Below are 19850 nucleotides of genomic sequence, written 5' to 3'. Positions count from 1 at the left end.
GTCGGGTGGTGTGGATGCCCTGGAGTAGTCGGGCTGGTGTTTCCTCAGACTGGGGCAGGAGTTTTGGGTGGAGGACCCTGGGCGGGAGGACCCTGTTGTCCTGTCTTCTTGGGCCAAGGGCACCTGGTGAGGGCGTGGGGCAGGTGTCTCTGCCTGAGGTCCCTTCCCTCTGTCCACGCTGAGCTCCGGGGAAGGACTGGCCGTGTGACCCACGCATTTGGGTTTGGGGAGCTCTCCTCCGCTCTGCCTGCGCTCCCTGCACCACCAAGGCCTGGGCGGTTCTGGGCCCGATAGCAACTCACCCCCGCTCCTGGCTGGGGCCTTGACCAACTCAGGAGCCCCTGACCTTGCCCGGGAAATGCTTCCACGGAGGGTCCGGGCCACAGGTCAGCGTGACCAGGCCCTCTGCAGCCTGGGTGGGCAGTGTCCGGAGGGCCCTCGTGGGCCTCAGTGGGATGAATGCTCCCCAACCCTGCCGATCGGGGCCTCCAGAGGCTCTGGGAGGTGGACTGCTCCTACCCTCCTGGGGTGGGGGGTGCTGCACCCTACCTGGCTCTGGGCCTCAGGCGGGCAGCATGGACACCTCTGTCCCGGGGGTCTCTGTTTGGGGGCAGGTTCCTGAAGGTCCCTAGTGATCAGTGCCCAGGTGCTTGGGTCTGACAGGGTGGGCAGTGGGCAAAGCTGAGCAAGGTGAGGGGGACGGAACCCACAGCTTCCAGGGAGAGACAGCGCCCCCTTGACATGCCTGGTTTTTTTCTTTGTTTGTTTTTCTTGAGATGGAGTCTCCCTGTGTCACCCAGACTGGAGTGCAATGGCACGATCTCAGCCCACTGCAGCCTCTGCCTCCTGAGTTCAAGCAGTTCTCCTGCCCCAGCCTCTCGAGTAGCTAGGATTACAGGCACGCACCACCATGCCCAGCTAATTTTTGTGTTTTTAGTAAAGACAGGGTTTTACCATATTGGTCAGGCTGGTCTTGAACTCCTGACCTCAGGTGATCTGCCCACCTTGGCTTCTCAAAGTGCTGGGGTTACAGGCGTGAGCTACCATGCCCAGTCTATTTTTTTTTTTTTTGAGACAGAGTCTTGCTCTGTCACCCAGGCTGGAATGTAGTTGTGCAGTAACAGCTCACTGCAGCCTTGACCCCTCTGGGCTCAGGTGATCCTCCCGCCTCAGCCCCCCGAGTAGCTGGGACTACGGGCATGCACCACCACACCCAGCTAATTTTTGTATTTTTAGTAGAAATGGGGTTTTGCCATATTGTCCAGGCGAATCTTGAACTCCTGGACTCAAGCAATCTTCCACCTTGGCCTCCAAGTGCTGGGATTACAGGCGTGAGACATCACATGTGGCCGGACACGGTGGCTCACGCCTGTAATCCCAGCACTTTGGGAGGCCAAGGTGGATGGATCACCTGAGGTCAGGAGTTCGAGACCAGCCTGACCAACACGGTGAAACCCCGTCTCTACTAAAAATACAAAAATTAGCTGGGCGTGGTGGCACGTGCCTGTAATCCCAGCTACTCGGGAGGCTGAGGCAGGAGAATCGCTTGCACCTGGGAGGCAGAGGGTGCAGTGAGACGAGATCACACCATTGCACTCCAGCCCGGGCGACAGTGTAAGAATCCGTCTCAAAAAAAAAAAAATGAAATGATGTACATACATCTCCTTCACTGGGCAGCGCGTGTGTGTGTGTCATCCCCATGGCGAGCCCCACCTCTGGGCGTGGCTGCCCCCGCCCCTGCCTCCGGCACAGGGCATGGCACCAGGCTCACCCCAGACCCGAGCTGCTCAGAGTTCCTGCAGCATTGCTGCCCTTCAGGTGCTGCAGAAGTCAGACGCCGTCCTGCGTGGCCCTGAGGGTTGGTGTTTCTCACCCATTGCTTGTTTATTTTTTTCTTTTTTGAGACGGAGTCTCACTCTCTCGCTCTGTCACATGGTGGCTCACGCCTGTAATCCCAACACTTTTGGATGCCGAAGCAGGCAGATCACTTGAGGTCAGGAGTTCAAAACCAGGCTGGCCAACATGGTGAAACCCCGTCCCTAGTAAAAATACAAAAAAATTAGCTGGGCATGGTGGCGCACACCTGTAATCCCTGCTACTTGGGAGGATGAGGCAGGAGAATTGCTTGAACCTGGGAGGGCCGTGGTGTCTCCCATTCCCACATGCTCCAGTGTGTGGAGGGCCGTGGTGTCTCCCATCCCCACGTGCTCCAGTGCGTGGAGGGGCCTTGGTGTCTCCCGTACCACCCTCACCGGGCCTGGCCTTGTCTTCCAGGACTCCTCCTATTTTGAGGACTTCTCCAACATCTCCATCTTCTCCTCGTCCGTGGACTCCCTGTCGGACATCGTGGACACGCCCGACTTCCTGCCGGCTGACAGCCTCAACCAGGTGTCCACCATCTGGGACGATAACCCTGCCCCCTCCACCCACGATAAGGTCAGTGCGCCCGGTGCCCCCAGCCAGCCCCGACCCACCAGCGTGGCCTCCCCAGCCCGGGACCCACACGGTCCAGTGAGGTCTCAGTCTCCCCCACTCTGCGTGCCAATGGCTGTGCCTGTCACTGTCGGCGCCATCTGTGGCCATGGATGAGGTGGTTAGTTGAGGGTCCTCTTGTGTCCTGAATAGGAGAAGGCGACGTCCAGGACATCTGTGGCTACCACATCTGGGCGGTGCTCCTGGCATGGAGTTGGGGGGGGCCAGGATGCTGCCCAGCGCCCTGCAGTGCCCATTATGGCCCCACCTGAGAGGGACCCTGCCCCGTGTCCACCGCACCCGGGGAGTCCCTGGTCTAGAGAAGCACAGGAAGGTGACGGGACAGAGAAGCGTGGTCAGGAAGGGCCCCCTGGAGAGGCAGCGCCCAGCGGGCCCAGGCAATGTGGCTGTCCAGGCAGAGGAACAGCACCTGTGGTGGCATCCAGCCCCATGGTGCCTGGGTCAGCAGTGGCCGTGTCCCCGCTAGTGGGGAGCTGAGAGGGCGAGGTTGGTGGATCCTGTCCCAGGGTGGGGAGCTGGACATTGTCCGTGGGGGCTGAGGGGCTGGGGTTTGCCTCCAAGAAGCTCCTGAAGGACCTGGGTGGGCCAGGCCTAGAGCAGGGGTTGTAGGGCAGCAGGGCCCCCAGGTTCTTCGGGCCTAGCCTCTAGCCGTGCCCCAGTGCGACTCAGTGGAGGTGTCTGGTGAGGGAGGCATGGCTGGGAGCCAGGCCTGGCAAGTCCCTTCCCCAATCCGGGCCTGTCCACGAGAGAAGCTTCTAGACTTTGGGAGCAGACGTTGGACATGTCTCTGGGACTGAGCGCCTTCCGGTGAGGGCCCATGCCAGCCTCCGCACGCTCCCGGCACAGTGGTGGGCTCACACCCATAGGCCGCTCTCCCGGGCCCTCAGGAAGGGGCAACCCGGGCAGCAGAACTCACGGGCTTGGGGGCCCAGGCAGGAAGCATCAGGGCACCCCGCAGCCACGGTGGGTGGCTCACGGTGGGCGGCTCAGGAAGCATCAGGGCACCCCGCAGCCATGGTGGGCGGCTCAGGCTTGGTCCCTCTGGCACAAGGGCCCAGCAGAGCATTTCACCCAGCCCGGGGCCCGTGCCCTCCCAGCTAGCTCCCAGGTCCTCAGCAGGGCGTGAGGAAAGAAGCCAGGGCCTGACCGGCCTGCTGTGGCCGGCACGAGGGCATCTGAAACCCAATGCCCGCCAGCCCCACCGGGAATGGTGACTCAGCCTTCCAGGAACCTGCGTGGCGTCTGTTTTTTTGTGTTTTGTTAACTTAAAAAAAAAAGGAGAGGGCAACTGAGTATAGGTTTCTAACCTTCCTGTGCCACGCTTCCACTTTCTTTAAAAACCCTCAGGAGTGTTCCTAGTGTTAGAAAATGCAGAAGCTGTGGACTCAGTTCATTAGCATCACTAGCCTGGTGGCTCCCACACACTGCCGAGAACCCGGCCCGGGCTCAGGCAGGCTTGGGCGGAAACCTCACCCGTCTCAGGACGTTGGAGTTCAAGGGGGGGACCGGGTCTAGAAGAGATGCTCTTATTTATTTATTTACTTATTTATTTTGAGACGGGATCTCACTCTGTCGCCCAGGCTGGAGTGTGGTGGCGCAACCTCAGCCCATTTCAGCCTCGACCTTCTGGGTTAAAGCGATCCTCCTGCCTCAGCCTCTCGAGTAGCTGGGTCCATAGACACACGACACCACGCCTGGCTAATTTTTGTATTTTTTGTAGAGATAGGATTTTATCATGTTGTCCAGGCTGGTCTGGAACCCTGGCCCCAAAAGATCTCGCCCGTTCTGCCTCTGCCTCCCACAGGCCTGAGCCACGCACCCGGCGGGATTCTCCCCTTTCCAATTCTTCACACTTTTTTTTTTCTTTTTTTAAGACAGAGTCTCTCGCTCTTGTCGCCCAGGCTGGAGTGCAGTGGTGCGATCTCAGCTCACTGCACCCTCCACCTCCCAGGTTCAAGAGATTCTCCTGCCTCCTCAGCCTCCCTAGTAGCTGAGATTACAGGCATGTACCATCGTGCCTGGCTAATTTTGTATTTTTAGTAGAGATGGGGTTTATCCATTTTGGTCAGGCTGGTCTTGAACTCCCAACCTCAGGTGATCCACCTATCTTGGCCTCCCGAAGTGCTGGGATTACAGGCGTGAGCCACCATGCCCGGCCCACGCTCACTTTTTTTTTTTTTTTTTTTTTGAGATGGAGTCTCGCCCTGTCACCCAGGCTGGAGTACAATGGCGTGATCTCAGCTCACTGCAACCTCTGCCTCCTGGGTTTAAGCGATTCTCCTGCCTCAGCCTCCTGATCAGCTGAGATTACAGGCGCCCACCACCACACCTGGCTAATTTTTTTTTTTTTGTATCTTTAGTAGAGACGGGGTTTCAGCATGCTGGCCAGGCTGGTCTCGAAATCCTGACCTCCACTCTGGGAGGCCTTGGCCTCCCAAAGTGCTGGGATTTACGGGTGTGAGCCACTGTACCCTGACCATGCTTACGTTTTTTATGGCTCGTATTACTGTTAGGATTTTTGCTTTTTAAGAGTGGATATATTCCAGAATCACACAGACCCTAGTTTGGACCCTACCATCCCCCAGCCATCCGTCCCGGGGTCCACACTGTCTCAGTGTTGGCGTCTGGACAGTGGGCATGACGACGGGCCACACCACCCCCCGACCCACCCGTTCACAGGCTTTACACGCCCAGTCAGTTCGGAGACCCCTGGGTGGGCCACAGACTCATCCAGAGGCCCAGCACACCTGTCTGCCAAGGCCTGGGGTCAGCTCCCCGAGGACAGTGTCACTGCCCACCCTGGTGAATCTGCATGAGGCTCCGGGCAGTCCTTCTCCCCAGGGTGGGGCCGCAGTGGGATGTGTTCTCTGGTCACTACAGTGGCAGGCATCCTTGCCCCATCTCTCACAGAGGAGGTGCTGCCCTCGAGGGGCCTCAGGGACTGCACCCACGGGGGTTCTTGGAGAGTGCAGGGCTGCCCTGGGCCACCCACCCTGTGTGCTGGGAGCCATCGGGTGAGGGACAAGGCCCAGGCCCGCCCGCCCCCACTGCCTCTGTCTCCTCTTCCCCCTCGACAGGGAGCTCCCAACCCCTTGTCTCCCAGGCCCCCGAGGGCCTCCTGCACTGCATGGGGCTGGCACACAGTGGGTCTCTCCTGTCAGACCCCTGTCCACAGCCTTCCTGGCAGCTCCCGCGGGACCAAGCTGTGTTGTCTGTCAGAACTAGCCGGGCACCTTCCTCCCGGGCACTCCAGGCAGGCACACTGGCCATCAGTGAGAAGGCAGCCAGGTGCTGGCCAGGAGGAGCGAGCCTTAGGCCCCAGGGAGGTGCCCACTGGGGAGGCTTGGGAGGCACCAGGGTCACCCTGAGAACAGCAGGAGAGCAAGACCCAGGGCCCTGGGGAGCGAGGATGGGGAGGCGAGGACGGGGCAGTGGGGAGCCTCCCTCTGGTGGCCAGGCTGCGAGGGCCCACCAGCTGTGACCTGTCCCGTCTGGCCCGGGCTGACATCCTGCTCCCCTTCCAGCTGTTCCAGCTCAGCAGGCCGTTTGCAGGCTTCGAGGACTTTCTGCCCTCCCACAGCACCCCGCTTCTCGTCAGCTACCAGGTGAGCTGGGCCCAGCCGAGAGCTCCCTCCCCTGCCCTCTCATGGGACCTAAGGAGAGGGCTCAGCACAGGCATCTCCATTGTGGGGAGCGCTTGGCTGGCCTAGAAGCTGGGAGTGCCCATTTTATAGCTGAGGAGATGGAGGCCCTGGGGGAGCACCTTGCTGCAGGGGCAGACAGAGCCGTCTCCCACCCCTGGGTCACTCAGCTGCCCATGGTCAGCCTGGCCCCTGCCCCTGGGGGAGCCCAGTGCCCGCGGCCGCTCAGGCCTGCAGTCTCCGCTGAGCTCCCGCCACGCACGCAGGAGCAGAGTGTGCAGAGCCAGCCAGAGGAGGAGGACGAGGCTGAGGAGGAGGAGGCGGAGGAGCTGGGGCACACAGAGACCTACGCCGACTACGTGCCGTCCAAGTGTGAGTGGCCCGGCTGCACCCAGCCCTGGGACAGGTTCAAACCCTTTTGTGGGACCGAGACCCTGCAGGTGACCACCGCCCGCACAGCCCACAGAGGGAATGTGAAGCTTCAGGGAGGGCCGGAGAGCCCGGGGACAGGTTCTACAATCCAGGCTTATACAAAACCGGGGTTCGCAGAGGGGAGAAGTGGAAAGGAACCTCAGAGGCACTGGGAGGATTTTTATGCATTTGCCCCTCCTGCAAGCCGCTGGCCACGCCCCCAACCAACCCAGCAGGCCGCGGCCACACCCCCGACCCGGCCAGCCCTGACCACTCCTCCACCCAGGCATTCCTGGCCACGCCCATGACCCGCCCAACGGGACCTGGCCACGCCCCCAAACTGCCCCGCCAGCTCTGGCCACGCCCCAGACCCGCCCAGCGTGCCATAACCGGCCCTGGTCACCCCTTGGCCATACCCTTTACCTTGCCCTCCGTCCTTGCTCCTCCAGCCAAGATCGGGAAGCAGCACCCAGACCGCGTGGTGGAGACCAGCACACTGTCCAGCGTCCCACCCCCAGACATCACCTACACCCTGGCCCTGCCCTCGGACAGCGGGGCCCTGTCTGCCCTGCAGCTAGAGGCCATCACCTACGCCTGCCAGGTGACCGCATGTCCCCAACCCAGCCCAGCCTGTGTCCGCGAGGCCCCTGGGGAGGGGCCGGGCCAGCACCCCCAGGCCCTGACGCCTGCTCTCCGGCAACAGCAACACGAGGTCCTGCTCCCCAGCGGGCAGCGCGCGGGCTTTCTCATCGGCGATGGGGCCGGCGTGGGCAAAGGCCGGACGGTGGCCGGAGTCATCCTGGAGAACCACCTGCGCGGCCGGAAGAAAGCATTGTGGTGAGGCCCTGCCTGGGGCAGGGGGCGGGAGCGGGGGTGGGGGGCGGAAGCGGGGGGCGAGGGGGAAGGGTGGGCGCGCCTGACGCCCCCACCCCGCAGGTTCAGCGTCTCCAACGACCTCAAGTACGATGCGGAGCGCGACCTGCGGGACATCGAAGCCACGGGCATCGCGGTGCACGCGCTCAGCAAGGTAGGGGCTGTGCTCGGCAAAGTAGGGGGCAAGGTGGGGACCGTGCCCTGCAAAGTGGGGGCTGCTCAGCTGGGTGGGCCAGCAGCCAGGGCAGGCTCTGCCCAGCACCCTTACAGATAGGGAGACCCAGGTCCAGAGCCTGCTGAGCCGGGGCCCCATTCCACACCTGTTCTGTGCATCCCCAGATCAAGTACGGTGACACCACTACCTCAGAGGGCGTCCTCTTCGCCACCTACTCCGCCCTGATTGGGGAGAGCCAGGCCGGCGGCCAGCACCGCACTCGCCTCCGGCAGATCCTGGACTGGTGTGGGGAGGCCTTCGAGGGCGTCGTATCCTGCTGGGGGCAATCGGGAGGGGAGGGCTGGATTAGGGGGTCGGAGGGAAAAGGAGGATGGAGGAGTGGGAGAGGAGGGGTGGGAGTCAGGGGAGAGGAGGGCAGGATGGGAGAGGGTAGGAGCGGAGGGGTGGGGCTGGGGAAGGGCTGGAGGCCACTGGAGCTCACTACCCTGGATGTGGCCACCCAGCCCCCAGCTTTGCTCAGGGTTTAGGACTCCGGATAGAAGACTTTTCTGGTCCTGGGAGGCTGGCCCTGTGGGTACCACACAAGTGACCATCATCATTCACCACAGGGCTCCGGCTTGGTTTCTTGGTTCTGATAAGTGGGATGAGTGACCATAGATGTGGTCCTGATGTTTGCCATGATGCCGTGGGCAGAGGGTGGCCACTGAGCTGCTCCCCAAGTCAGGAAGGTGCCAACCCCAGCTGATAGTGTGGTGGGCACAGTTCACTCCCCAGCATCCCAGGGCTCTCGTCGGCAGGCTGCGGTTCGGAGGGGCTCCCCCACAGGAGACCCAGGACAGTTAGCAGCAAAGGCACGGCAGGGCACCCCTTGGCCAGGCTCAGCCCTGGTGCTCGGCCCTGCAGGGTGCACCTTGGGTGTTGGGGTGTTGGGAGCACAGGCTCAGATAAGGGAGGGACGTTGGCCTGCAGCATCCACTTCATGCACAGGACATGGCCATGGCTTTGCTGTTCAGTTAACGCCGAGACACAGAACATTCAGACTGGCCAGAAACAGAACGGGAGACTGCTGGTGTCTTCGCACCCGGCTGAACAATCTATGTGCAACAATCTACGAAATAGCGATAACCCTGAGATCATACCTCGCTGAGCTGCTACGTGGCGGCAGGGCCGGCCGTTTAATTTGTATTCTCCCAGTTTTCCTTCCTCAGACTGCTTTCCTGGAACTTGGCTTTCTTTCGTCTTAAAATATTAAGAACCTGGCCGGGTGCAGTGGCTCACGCTTGTAATCCCAGCACTTTGGGAGGCCGAGGCAGGCGAATCACGAGGTCAGGAGTTCGAGACCACCTGGACAACATGGTGAAACCACGTCTGTACTAAAAATACAAAAGTTAGCTGGGCGTGGTGGTGCGCACCTGTAATCCCAGCTACCCGGGAGGCTGAGGCAGGAGAATCGCTTGAACCCAGGAGGCAGAGGTGGCAGTGAGCCGAGATTGCCCCACTGCTCTCCAGCCCAGGCGACAGAGCGAGACTGTGTCTCATCTAAAAAAAAAAAGAGTTCCAGACTGTCTTGACCAATATGGTGAAACCCCGTCTCTACTGAAAATACAAAAATTACCCGGGCGTGGTGGCGCACACTTGTAATCCCAGCTACTCAGGAGGCTGAGGCAGGAGAATCGCTTGAACCAGGGAGTCGGAGGTTGCAGTGAGCTGAGATCGCGCCGCTGCATTCCAGCCTAGTGACAGAGCGAGACTTCGTCTCAAAAAAAAACAAAGAATTAGGGCTGGGCACGGCTCACACCTGTAATCCCAGCACTTTGGGAGGCTGAGGCAGGCAGGTCACTTGAGGTCAGGAGTTTGAGATTATCTGGCCAACCAAACGGCCAACCCCGTCTCTACCAAAACTACAAAAATTAGCCGGTTGTGGTGGTGGCACACACCTGTAGTCCCAGCTCCTTGGGAGGCTGAAGCAGGAGAATCACTTGAATCTGAGAGGCAGAGGTTGCAGTGAGCTGACATTGTATCACTGCACTCCAGCGTGGGTGACAGAGCAAGACCCTGTCTCAAAAAAACAAACAAAAAAGAAAACAGGTTCCAGGTATCCTCCTCCGATGGCAACGTCCTGCGATATCATGGTTTAGGGATCCCACCCTTCCTCGCCGGAGGCCCCATCCTCGGTGTGTGTTGTTTAGAGTCTGGGAGGAGCCATCCCAGGCCACACCCATCTAATGGTCGTGTGGGGGCCGCCTGCCCGCCCGCCCCCCATGGTAGCCGGCTGCCACTCCGACCTGGGCTTCCCTCGTGGAGTTCTCAGCCGCACAGGCGTTTGCCCCCCACCAGGAAGGTGGGGTCTTGGGTGGTCAGGACCTGGGCTCCTGGGGTCGCCCCCGTCCTTCAGAATACTCCTTAACCCACGTGTGCCTCAGATCGTGTTCGACGAGTGTCACAAAGCCAAGAATGCCGGCTCCACCAAGATGGGCAAGGCTGTGCTAGACCTGCAGAACAAGCTGCCCCTGGCCCGCGTGGTCTACGCCAGCGCCACAGGTGGGGCGGTGCGGATCCCACGTGACCCACCCGCAGCAGCGTCTTTCTGCCTGGCTGTCCCCGCGAAGGGGTATCCCACACGCGTACTCAGCCTCCGTCTGCACCCTGCTCCTCCTCGGACACTGGGGCACCTCTGCGCCTGTCCCAAGGCCACGCTGGCTCTCTTCAGGCCCATGGCTCCAACCCCGCAGGGCCCCTCGTCGGGTGGTCCCAACTTAGTCGTCCCCTGACGCGGCCTCTGGGCCCTCCCGGGTTGGGGAGCTGACGGCAGCTTCCCCCCACAGGTGCCTCTGAGCCTCGGAACATGATCTACATGAGCCGCTTGGGTATCTGGGGCGAGGGCACACCCTTCCGGAACTTTGAGGAGTTCCTGCACGCCATCGAGAAGAGGTGAGTGCCCTTCTCACCCACGTGGAGGGGCGGCGGGGGGTGGGGAGGAGGCCTCAGGCCCATCAGCCCAAGGCCTGGCACTGCCACGTGTGCTTCCCCAGCACCCAGAGGTGCTGAATGTGGGTCGCTCGTTTCACTGCCTCGGGCTGCCCAGCACTCCCAGGGAAGCCAGCCCCTCCGCAGCCCTTCCTGCCCCGTCCCCGCCAGGCTCAGCTGCCAACTGCCTCAGTGGCCGCCAGGGCTCTGCTCCTGCCGACCCCGCCCTCTCTGCGACTGGCTCTGCCTCGCGCTCCGAGTGGCTCCATCCCCACGGGCTCTGGCCGTGCTCACGGGGGCTGTGTCCATCCGCAGGGGCGTTGGCGCCATGGAGATCGTGGCCATGGACATGAAGGTCAGCGGCATGTACATCGCACGCCAGCTCAGCTTCTCCGGCGTCACCTTCCGCATCGAGGAGATCCCGCTGGCCCCAGCCTTCGAGTGCGTCTACAACCGCGCGGCCCTGCTGGTGAGCCTGCGCACCCGACCCGGGGACCCCTGTGCGTTTCCCGGGTGAAATTGCTCCCCCGTGGCCTTGCAGATGCCACAGGCGTCATCAGGTGACGGCCCGCCCTGTCCTGTCCTGGGGTTTTTTTTTTGTTGTTTTTTTGAGACAGTCTCGTGCTGTCATCTAGGCTGGAGTGCTGTGGTGTGATCTCAGTTCACTGCAACCTCTGCCTCTTGGGTTTAAGCGATTCTCCCCCCTCAGCCTCTCGAGTAGCTGGAGTTACAGGTGCCCGCCTCCACACCCAGCTAATTTTGTGTATTTTTTGGTAGAGAACGGTGTTTCTCCATGTTGGCCAGGTTGGTTTCAAACTCCTGACCGCAAGTGATCTGCCCGCCTCGGCCTCCCACAGTGCTGGGATGACAGGCGTGAGCCACGTGCCCGGCCATCACTGGGGTTTTTATGTGGCTGTGATAACGAGGGATGGGACCAAACCACCGCCCCCCTTCCTGTGGTGCCCAAGCCCTTTGCCCCCAGGTCCTGGCCCACAGCTGGCAGTTGGTAGCCGTGTTCAGCATCCACATTGCTGTGGGCCATGTGGCTTGGTCGTTCCCTCCATGTTTGGACAGGTCCTGTTTTCTCCCCCTCACGCCCAACAGCCCTGTATGTTCGATGGTTTTTTTTTTTTATTTTTTGAGACGGGGTTTCCACTCTTGTTGCCCAGGCTGGAGTGCAATGGCACGATCTTGGCTCACCGCAACCTCCGCCTACCAGATTCAAGCAATTCTCCTGCCTCAGCCTCCCGCGTAGCTGGGGTTACAGGCATGTGCCACCAGCCCGGCCAATTTTATATTTTTGGTAGAGACAGGATTTCTCCATGTTGGTCAGGCTGGTTGGTCTCAAACTCCTGAGCTCAGGCGATCTGACCGCCTCAGCCTCCCAAAGTGCTGTGATTACAGGCGTGAGCCACCACACCCAGCCTCTTCACTCGTTTCTTTAGGTGACACAACCAGCATCTCCCGTAACCCCCAGGGCCGGGTTGCTCTCCGGGGTGGGGCCGTCCTGAGCACTTTGGGGTATGGAGCAGCATCCGTGGCCAGAGTCCCAGCCACCCTAACCCAGCCCACCCAGTCATGCCGGGACCAGCCCCCAAACCTGACCACCACAGCCAGCCCCAGACATGCCCAGTGTCCCCTGGACAGGATCACACCTGGGTGAGACCCTGGTCCAAAGCAAGAGAGGCGTGGCTGCGAGCACCCTGTGTTCTTGGAAGGAGCTGAGCCTGTTTGCCGCGGGCGCGGAGTCTGTGCAGTTTGCAGCACGGCTTCCCCACCACGAGTGTTTTGGTTTTTCAGGTTTTTGCCGTACAGGTAGAGGCAGTGCCTCTTACAGTGCACACCCCCAGCACCCCCATCCTGCCCTAAATTCCACCTGGCGTGGGGATGCCTTGCCCAGGGCTGGCGGCAGGTGGGCCGGGGCCCGGGTCGGGAGCCAGGAGCCACAGCTCAGGGGCGCCTTGTGACGTGTCATTGCAGTGGGCCGAGGCCCTGAACGTGTTCCAGCAGGCGGCCGACTGGATCGGCCTGGAGTCGCGCAAGTCCCTGTGGGGCCAGTTCTGGTCGGCACACCAGCGCTTCTTCAAGTATCTGTGCATCGCAGCCAAGGTGCGCCGGCTGGTGGAGCTGGCCCGAGAGGAGCTGGCGCGAGACAAGGTGAGCGGCTGCGGCCTTCGAGGGCTGAGGGCGGCCGGGCCTGCAGGGGCGGAGGCTGCTCTTCTTCCAGGTCCTTCCTGGCCCCTCCCCAGACGTGGGCGGGGGCTGCACCCTGGTGGGTGAGAGACGCCCGGATGTCCGTCTTCCAATCAGAGCCAGCCAGGGTGTCAGAACAGCGGAGTGTGACCACACAGTGGGCAGCTCACCATCCCGAGACAGGCAGCCGGCAGACCCCCACCCAGCAGTGTGTGTTGTAGGGGGGCCGTGGCCCCTCCTGGGGAGGCGAGCACAGCAGCAGAGTGAGGGATGTGGCCATCACCCCAGGCCTGGCAGGTTCTGGCCCCACAGAGGCCCCACAGCAGGGCTGGTGGCTCACAGTCCTCTGCCGTCCCACAGTGCGTGGTCATCGGGCTGCAGTCCACGGGCGAGGCGCGCACGCGGGAGGTGCTGGGGGAGAACGATGGGCACCTCAACTGCTTCGTCTCGGCCGCTGAGTAAGTGTCACGGTGGGGACAGGACTGTGGGCTTCCTGCGCTCATGGCCACCCCTCTCTGTGGCCACCTGTGGCCTGACCCTGCCCCTTGGCCCCAGCAGCAGGAGGTGCTGGGGTGGGCTTTGCTGGGCCCCCAGCCTCAGCCACAGAGGCCTTCACCGCTGCTCCAGGTCTAAAGCAGAGGCTTGGAGGTGGACCCCAGGCATGGTGGGCCTGGAAGGTTTGGGACATGGTCTCCAGGGGTCTCAGAAGGAGGCTTCCTGCATCTGTGCCGTTTTAACAAGGGGGCTGTGGATTTTAGGGGCTGGCCCTCCCAGCTGTCTGAAGCCCCAGCCTCTCCCCTGTTGGTTGAGAATGCCCCGGGAGGGTCACAGCAGCCCCCCTAGATCCCCCCATTGCCTGGGGGTCGGAGCTCCCCAATGCCCCCAGCTACCCCTTCACCCTGCCCCCTGCCCCTGTCCTGGGAGCCATCATCATATCCGGCCACATTCCTCAGAGCGGGGGAAGCCTGGTGGCCGAGGTGGCCCTGTGACACCAGGAGGCCAGAGGAGAGCTCACAGGCAGCCCCCAGTCCTCCCCAGCCCACTCCACACAGGAGACCCTCTGCCCAGGCCCGGTCCTGTCCGGGACCCCCACAGGGACCCAGGGGTGCGTCCAGCTCCTGGAGAGCAACCCCGCCTGGCCTCAGCTCCTCGTGTGAGAATAAACTCCGCGTCTCACTTTCAGAGGCGTGTTCCTGTCGCTAATTCAGAAGCACTTTCCGTCCACCAAGAGAAAGCGGGACAGAGGAGCGGGCAGCAAGCGGAAACGTAAGCCCTGCCCCCCATGGCCCCACCCACCCCTGCCCCTCTGCTTTCTCCCCCCGGGGGCTGGCTGGTCGCTCCCTGCTTCCCCCACTCCCCCGTCCACTCAGCCAAATGCAGGTCCTGTCCGTGCCAGGCAGGCTCAAGGCTCCGCTGCCAGTGGCAGGTCTTGCGTGGACCCTGCCATGGAACGCTTAGGGAAGAGGAAGCAACAGACAGCCTGAAGGACACAGACGTGGGTGCCGAGCGAGACCCGGGGGGCGGGACACGGACGCGGGTGCTGAGCGAGACCCCTCCCACCTTCCGTTTTCAGGGTCTCCACGGTCCCTTGGGGAGCCCATTGATAACCCCCAGGCTTCTGTCACAGGGAAGCCCAGAGCTGCCTGTCGAAGTCTGGTGTGTGGCCTCCCCAGGCACCCCGCGTGTCCACCATACTGGCCAGGCCTGAAAGGACGTTGGATATGGGTTTATTAATATTGTCCCGTTGGCTGGGCGTGGTGGCTCACGCCTGTAATCCCAGCACTTTGGGAGGCCGAGGCGGGTGGATCACCTGAGGTCAGGAGTTTAAGACCAGCCTGGCCAACATGGTGAGACCCTGTCTCTACTAAAAATACAAAAATTAGCTGGGCGTGGTGGTGGACGCCTATAATCCCAGCTACTTGGGAGGCTGAGGCAGGGGAATCGCTTGAACCTGAGAGGTGGAGATTGCAGTGAGCCGAGATCATGCCACTGCACTCCAACTTGGGTGACAGAAAAAACTCTTGTCTCAAAAAAATTAATAAAAATAAAATATTGGCTAGGTGCAGTGGGTCACGCCTGTTGTAATCCCAGCACTTTGGAAGGCTGAGGCGGGCAAATCACCTGAGGCCAGGAGTTTGAGACCAGCCTGGCCAACATGGTGAAACTCCATCTCTACTAAAAATAGAAAAATTAGCCAGGTGTGGTGGTGCATGCTTGTAATACCAGCTGCTCAGGAGGCTGAGGCAGGGGAATTGCTTGAACCCGGGAGGTGGAGGTTGCAGTGAGCTGAGATCGCACCACTGCACTCCAGCCTGGGCAACAGAGTGAAACTCCATCTCAAAAATAAATAAATAAGCCAGGCGTGGTGGTTCACGCCTATAATCCCAGCACTTTGGGAGGCTGAGGCAGGTGGATCACGAGGTCAGGAGATCGACACCATCCTGGCCAACATGGTGAAACCCCATCTCTACTAAAATACAAAAGATTAGCCAGGCGTGGTGGTGGGCGCCTGTAATCCCACCTACTCAGGAGGCTGAGGCAGGAGAATCGCTTGAATCCAGGAGGCAGAGAGTGCAGTGAGATGCCACCGTTCTCCAGCCTGGCGACAGAGTAAGACTCCGTCTCAAAAGAAAATAAATAAATAAAATATGGCCCCCCACACCGTACCCTCCTGGCCACAGGGCACGGGGTTCCCTAGAGGGCGTCCCTGGAGAACAGCTGAGCTGCTTGCCCAGAGGCAGGGGGTTCTCGGATGGACCTCCCCAGCTCGGACCACTGGCCTTGCTCTGTCCTGCTGCGTCTCCTCCACCTGCTCCTCCACCTTGCTGCGGTCTGGCCCTCGGTGACCCTGTCCTTCCCTGCAGGGCGACCTCGGGGACGCGGGGCCAAAGCCCCCCGGCTGGCGTGCGAGACAGCGGGCGTCATCCGCATCAGTGACGACAGCAGCACGGAGTCGGACCCTGGCCTGGACAGCGACTTCAACTCCTCCCCCGAGTCCCTGGTGGATGACGACGTTGTCATCGTTGATGCAGTCGGGCTCCCCAGTGACGACCGGGGTGAGGGCTTGCCCAGGCTGGCCAGCCACCTGTGGGTCAGGATTCCAGTCCAGGCTGAGCAGCCACCTCTGGGTCAGGATTCCAGCCTGAGGCTCCCCCGGCCTCCTGGCGGTCACCACCCACCCCAGGTTGTAGCCCTCAGTCCAGCCCACCTGAGCCCAGCTGCTGCTATGGTGCCCACTTTACAGATGGGGGAAACTGAGGCCCAGAGAGGGGAGGTCAGGGGTTATACCACTGGTCAGAGGCAGAGCTGGGGCTTGGGGCTGGGCAGTCCCTACCCCTGTGGAGGCAGTGAGGTCACAGTGTTTGGTCCGCGACAGGAGGCTTAGTCTCGCCCCAGCTGGTCTCAGGGAGACAAGTGCAGAAAAGCAGTCCTGGGCCACGGTGCCGGGCTTCCCCGCCACCCTGCCGTCCCTCAGGGTTGCCCCGGGCCCCTTGTCCTTGCCCTCCAGGGGCCAGCCTTGAGTTAGGTGGGCCCTAGAAGGCAGCCAACATGTCCTGCCCTGACCCTCCACCTCCTCCCTAGGACCCCTGTGCCTCCTGCAGAGAGACCCGCATGGCCCCGGGGTCCTGGAGCGGGTGGAGCGGCTGAAGCAGGATCTGCTGGACAAAGTGCGGCGGCTGGGCCGGGAACTGCCAGTCAACACCCTGGACGAGCTCATCGACCAGCTGGGCGGCCCCCAGCGGGTGGCGGAGGTGGGTGGGACGTGGCAGCTGGAGTGTGGTGGGCGGGGCATGGGCAGTGGGTGGGGCTTCACGCAGGCTGTGTGCAGCTCTGGTGGCCCCTGCTGGTCACTCTGCGTCTCCGCGGCCCTGCGAGGAGGGGGCGTTTGGGGAGCCCTGGGGCAGCAGCGTGCTGTCCAGCTCGGCCCGGGAGGCCACGACCTCCTGTGGACGGCCTGCCCCATCCCTCTAAGCCCCAGATCCCCCAGCCTGGCCTGCGCAGGCCTCTGCTTAGATCGTTGCCTGAACGCACCCCTTGGGGTGCCCAGGGCCAGGACACAAGCCCCTGGGCCTGGTTCTGCGGCCTCCTACTCCCTGCCCCCGCCCAGCTTCACTTTTTCACTTCGTGGCGCCGGCTGGCTGATAATACCAGGCCTTGGACAGGCACACATCGCCTGGGTCCAGCAGTCCCGCCCTCCCTTTCCCAGCACCCCCACCTCCCGTGCACAGCTGGGAGCCCATGACCACTGTAGGACATAGGGAAGCTGAGACACGGGTGGCCAGACTCCTGCGAGGCCACAACACTGACGGCCGGTTTTGTCCCTGTCTCGGCTGCAGATGACCGGCAGGAAAGGCCGCGTGGTGTCCAGGCCCGACGGGACGGTGGCCTTCGAGTCGCGGGCAGAGCAGGGTCTGTCCATCGACCACGTGAACCTCAGGGAGAAGCAGCGCTTCATGAGCGGCGAGAAGGTGCGGGGCTGCAGTGCACTGGGCGCGGCCCACGGGACCCAAGAGGCACAGAGGGGCCCAAGGGTCCCCGGGGACTGTGGACCCGCGCACTTCTGGAGTGTGTGTGTGCCAGGTGCGGGCGCGAGTGGCCGTGTGGCGGGTGGTGTCCGCGCCCCGCAGGCCTCTCGCTGCCCCGGGACGTCCTGGTGACCTGGAGCGGGGGCCTAGTGGGTGAGGAGGTGGCGGCAACGCTGGGGCGGGCCTTGCACCAACCGTGTCCCGGCCCCTTCTTTCCCCCTAGCTCGTGGCCATCATCTCGGAGGCCTCCAGCTCGGGTGTCTCCCTCCAAGCCGACCGCCGTGTCCAGAACCAGCGGCGCCGCGTGCACATGACCTTGGAGCTGCCGTGGAGCGCCGACCGCGCCATCCAGCAGTTCGGTGAGTCCGGCCCCGCCCCCAGCGCTGCCTGGCCCCGCCCCCAACATGGTCTCGGCCCCGCCCCCGCCTGGCCGGGCCCTGAGAGCAGCTCTGCCCCCAGGCCGCACCCACCGGTCCAACCAGGTCTCCGCGCCAGAGTATGTCTTCCTCATCTCGGAGCTGGCCGGGGAGCGCCGGTTCGCCTCCATCGTGGCCAAGCGCCTGGAGAGTCTGGTGAGCAGGTGGGGGTGGGGCTGAGAACCAGGGACAGGCCCAGGAAGGCTCTCCAAAGCTTTGTGGGGTGCTAGAGGCCAGACCCCAGGTGACCAACTGATGGCCTCCCCACCCCTGGCAGGGGGCCCTGACCCACGGAGACCGCCGCGCCACGGAGTCCCGTGACCTCAGCAAGTACAACTTTGAGAACAAGGTACTGCAGGGAAGGCAGGGTTGGGGGGCGGGGCAGGGGCAGGGGTCTAGGGAGGGCCGGATCTAAGAGCCTGGGGGAGGGGGTAGATGGGGGCTGGAGAACGTGGGGCTCAGTGGTCTGGAGGAGGGCCGGGTCTAGGACCCCCAGGGGGGAAGGGGGCTTCTAGGGGCTCAGGGAGGTGGCATCCAGGGGTCTGGGGGAGGACCCAGTCTAGGACCCCCGGGGAGGAGGTGGCTGAGAGCTGGGGGAGGTGGGGTCTAGGAGTCTAGGGGAGGGCAGGGTCCAGGGGCCTAGGGGAGGGTGGGGTTCTGGGGAGGCAGGGGTCCAGGGAAAGCCAGCCTCCTCCCTGGGCCTCCTCCCCGAGTCACCTTCTCCCCCTAGTATGGCACCCGGGCCCTGCACTGTGTCCTCACCACCATCCTGAGCCAGACTGAGAACAAAGTGCCTGTGCCCCAGGGATACCCTGGAGGGGTCCCCACCTTCTTCCGGGGTAAGCTGGGCTGGTGGGGGTCTTCCTGGGAGGGGCAGGGGTTGCAGAGCACTGGGCTCCAGAGCAGCTGGGGCAGCAGGCTTTGTAGGCCGGTTGTGTGTTGAGTGACCCCTCCCCACACACGGACAGAGAGGGCTGTGAAGGCAAAGGGAGCCAAGGCGGCCCCCAGCAGCTGCCGGGTGGGTTTCCAGGGCAGCTGAGGGGCCTGGGGTTTGGGTTTACTCCCCAAGAACATGCTGTTCTCACTCCTGTAAGTCAGGCAAAAGGCTCCGCTCCTGGCCCTGGCCCTGGCCCTAGGCTGCAGCTGCTCCCCAGCCCCCCAGGGAGCTGCTGGTCTCTGGAAAAGGAGCTAGGGGCTTCGAGGGAGGGGCAGGGGTGGGAAGACCAGCATGTGAGGCCCCTCTCCCCGCAGACATGAAGCAGGGCCTGCTGTCTGTGGGCATTGGTGGCCGGGAGTCCCGGAATGGCTGCCTGGACGTGGAGAAGGGTGAGTGCCCCACACCCAGGCCCAGAGGCGCTCCTGTCTCTCATCTCATGCAACCTTGGCCTCGGGTGGTGAGCAAAGCAGGGAGAGGGATTCCCAGCGCAGCCTGAGGCTTGGCTCCCTCCCCTACCAGACTGTTCCATCACCAAGTTCCTGAACCGCATCCTGGGGCTGGAGGTGCACAAGCAGAACGCCCTGTTCCAGTACTTCTCAGACACCTTCGACCACCTCATCGAGATGGACAAGCGGGAGGGCAAATACGACATGGGCATCCTGGGTGAGCACAGGTGCCGGGGTGTGGTGTGGGTGGGTGTGGGTGCGGGGCTCGTGGGAACGCCATGCATCCTGGGTGGGCTCGGGGCTCGTGGGAACACCGGGCATCCCGGGTGGGCGAGGGGCTCGTGGGAACACCGTGCATCCCGGGTGGGCGAGGGGCTCGTGGGAACGCCGGGCATCCCAGGTGGGCTCGGGGCTCGTGGGAACACCGTGCATTGTGGGTGAGCACGGCGAGGGCCTAGGTGGGCAAGGGGCTCGTGGAAGCGCCATGCATCCTGGGTGAGCGAGGGTACTGGGTGAGACTGGGCGGATGCAGGCACAGGGCTCGTGGGATCACCGTGCACGTCTCTGGAAGGTGCCCAGGCTGGTGCACGCTGCCCACCATGCTCATCCCCAGGCTTCACGGGGCACCTGCTACATTGTTGTGAACGAAAGGCCGGCGAGCCTGTGCTTCCAGCCTCATGGGGCCAGGCCTGTCCATCAGGACCACTTCCCTGTGTCCAGATGAGGGTCGGGTCCGGGCCATGGCTACTTCACTCATGAGCAGTGCCGCAGC

The 19850-nt window shown here is 62.5% G+C and overlaps 1 protein-coding gene across 5 annotated transcripts in view, besides 6 other annotated features; it reads left to right on the top strand.

The window, feature by feature from the left end:
* The window catches only part of SBNO2 (strawberry notch homolog 2), a 66631-nt gene that overhangs the window by 44229 nt on the left and 2552 nt on the right, over nucleotides 1-19850 (top strand). For 4 of the 5 annotated variants that reach the window (XM_011527804.4, NM_014963.3, XM_047438466.1 and 1 more), the window contains 22 exons: nucleotides 2275-2436; nucleotides 6018-6098; nucleotides 6401-6506; nucleotides 6995-7146; nucleotides 7249-7382; nucleotides 7482-7572; nucleotides 7758-7901; nucleotides 10017-10134; nucleotides 10419-10524; nucleotides 10876-11029; nucleotides 12541-12717; nucleotides 13114-13211; nucleotides 13937-14019; nucleotides 15618-15809; nucleotides 16336-16505; nucleotides 17091-17222; nucleotides 17503-17638; nucleotides 17739-17851; nucleotides 17973-18044; nucleotides 18426-18534; nucleotides 18947-19021; nucleotides 19152-19295. In XM_011527804.4, coding sequence (XP_011526106.1) covers nucleotides 2275-2436; nucleotides 6018-6098; nucleotides 6401-6506; nucleotides 6995-7146; nucleotides 7249-7382; nucleotides 7482-7572; nucleotides 7758-7901; nucleotides 10017-10134; nucleotides 10419-10524; nucleotides 10876-11029; nucleotides 12541-12717; nucleotides 13114-13211; nucleotides 13937-14019; nucleotides 15618-15809; nucleotides 16336-16505; nucleotides 17091-17222; nucleotides 17503-17638; nucleotides 17739-17851; nucleotides 17973-18044; nucleotides 18426-18534; nucleotides 18947-19021; nucleotides 19152-19295 — 2749 coding nt within the window. Of the gene's footprint in view, nucleotides 1-2274; nucleotides 2437-6017; nucleotides 6099-6400; nucleotides 6507-6994; nucleotides 7147-7248; nucleotides 7383-7481; nucleotides 7573-7757; nucleotides 7902-10016; nucleotides 10135-10418; nucleotides 10525-10875; nucleotides 11030-12540; nucleotides 12718-13113; nucleotides 13212-13936; nucleotides 14020-15617; nucleotides 15810-16335; nucleotides 16506-17090; nucleotides 17223-17502; nucleotides 17639-17738; nucleotides 17852-17972; nucleotides 18045-18425; nucleotides 18535-18946; nucleotides 19022-19151; nucleotides 19296-19850 lie in introns of those variants that run through there. The other variant, XM_047438467.1, reaches the window with a different exon arrangement.
* Nucleotides 7198-7701: an enhancer, noted in NCBI's record as "H3K4me1 hESC enhancer chr19:1122338-1122841 (GRCh37/hg19 assembly coordinates)". NCBI's record gives its function as "activates a minimal SCP1, AML or CMV promoter by ChIP-STARR-seq in naive and primed H9 embryonic stem cells {active_cell/tissue: H9 hESC(naive and primed)}" and the evidence as "EXISTENCE:reporter gene assay evidence [ECO:0000049][PMID:30033119]".
* Nucleotides 12106-12618: an enhancer, noted in NCBI's record as "H3K27ac-H3K4me1 hESC enhancer chr19:1117421-1117933 (GRCh37/hg19 assembly coordinates)". NCBI's record gives its function as "activates a minimal SCP1, AML or CMV promoter by ChIP-STARR-seq in primed H9 embryonic stem cells {active_cell/tissue: H9 hESC(primed)}" and the evidence as "EXISTENCE:reporter gene assay evidence [ECO:0000049][PMID:30033119]".
* Nucleotides 12619-13132: an enhancer, noted in NCBI's record as "H3K27ac-H3K4me1 hESC enhancer chr19:1116907-1117420 (GRCh37/hg19 assembly coordinates)". NCBI's record gives its function as "activates a minimal SCP1, AML or CMV promoter by ChIP-STARR-seq in primed H9 embryonic stem cells {active_cell/tissue: H9 hESC(primed)}" and the evidence as "EXISTENCE:reporter gene assay evidence [ECO:0000049][PMID:30033119]".
* Nucleotides 16441-17360: an enhancer, noted in NCBI's record as "H3K27ac-H3K4me1 hESC enhancer chr19:1112679-1113598 (GRCh37/hg19 assembly coordinates)". NCBI's record gives its function as "activates a minimal SCP1, AML or CMV promoter by ChIP-STARR-seq in primed H9 embryonic stem cells {active_cell/tissue: H9 hESC(primed)}" and the evidence as "EXISTENCE:reporter gene assay evidence [ECO:0000049][PMID:30033119]".
* Nucleotides 17361-18280: an enhancer, noted in NCBI's record as "H3K27ac-H3K4me1 hESC enhancer chr19:1111759-1112678 (GRCh37/hg19 assembly coordinates)". NCBI's record gives its function as "activates a minimal SCP1, AML or CMV promoter by ChIP-STARR-seq in naive and primed H9 embryonic stem cells {active_cell/tissue: H9 hESC(naive and primed)}" and the evidence as "EXISTENCE:reporter gene assay evidence [ECO:0000049][PMID:30033119]".
* Nucleotides 18281-19200: an enhancer, noted in NCBI's record as "H3K4me1 hESC enhancer chr19:1110839-1111758 (GRCh37/hg19 assembly coordinates)". NCBI's record gives its function as "activates a minimal SCP1, AML or CMV promoter by ChIP-STARR-seq in naive H9 embryonic stem cells {active_cell/tissue: H9 hESC(naive)}" and the evidence as "EXISTENCE:reporter gene assay evidence [ECO:0000049][PMID:30033119]".

The sequence above is a fragment of the Homo sapiens genome, chromosome 19 (genome assembly GCF_000001405.40).
Source record: "Homo sapiens chromosome 19, GRCh38.p14 Primary Assembly".
NCBI lineage: Eukaryota > Metazoa > Chordata > Mammalia > Primates > Hominidae > Homo > Homo sapiens.
Note: the sequence above shows the minus strand (reverse complement) of the source record. Positions and strands in the feature narration are given on the sequence as shown.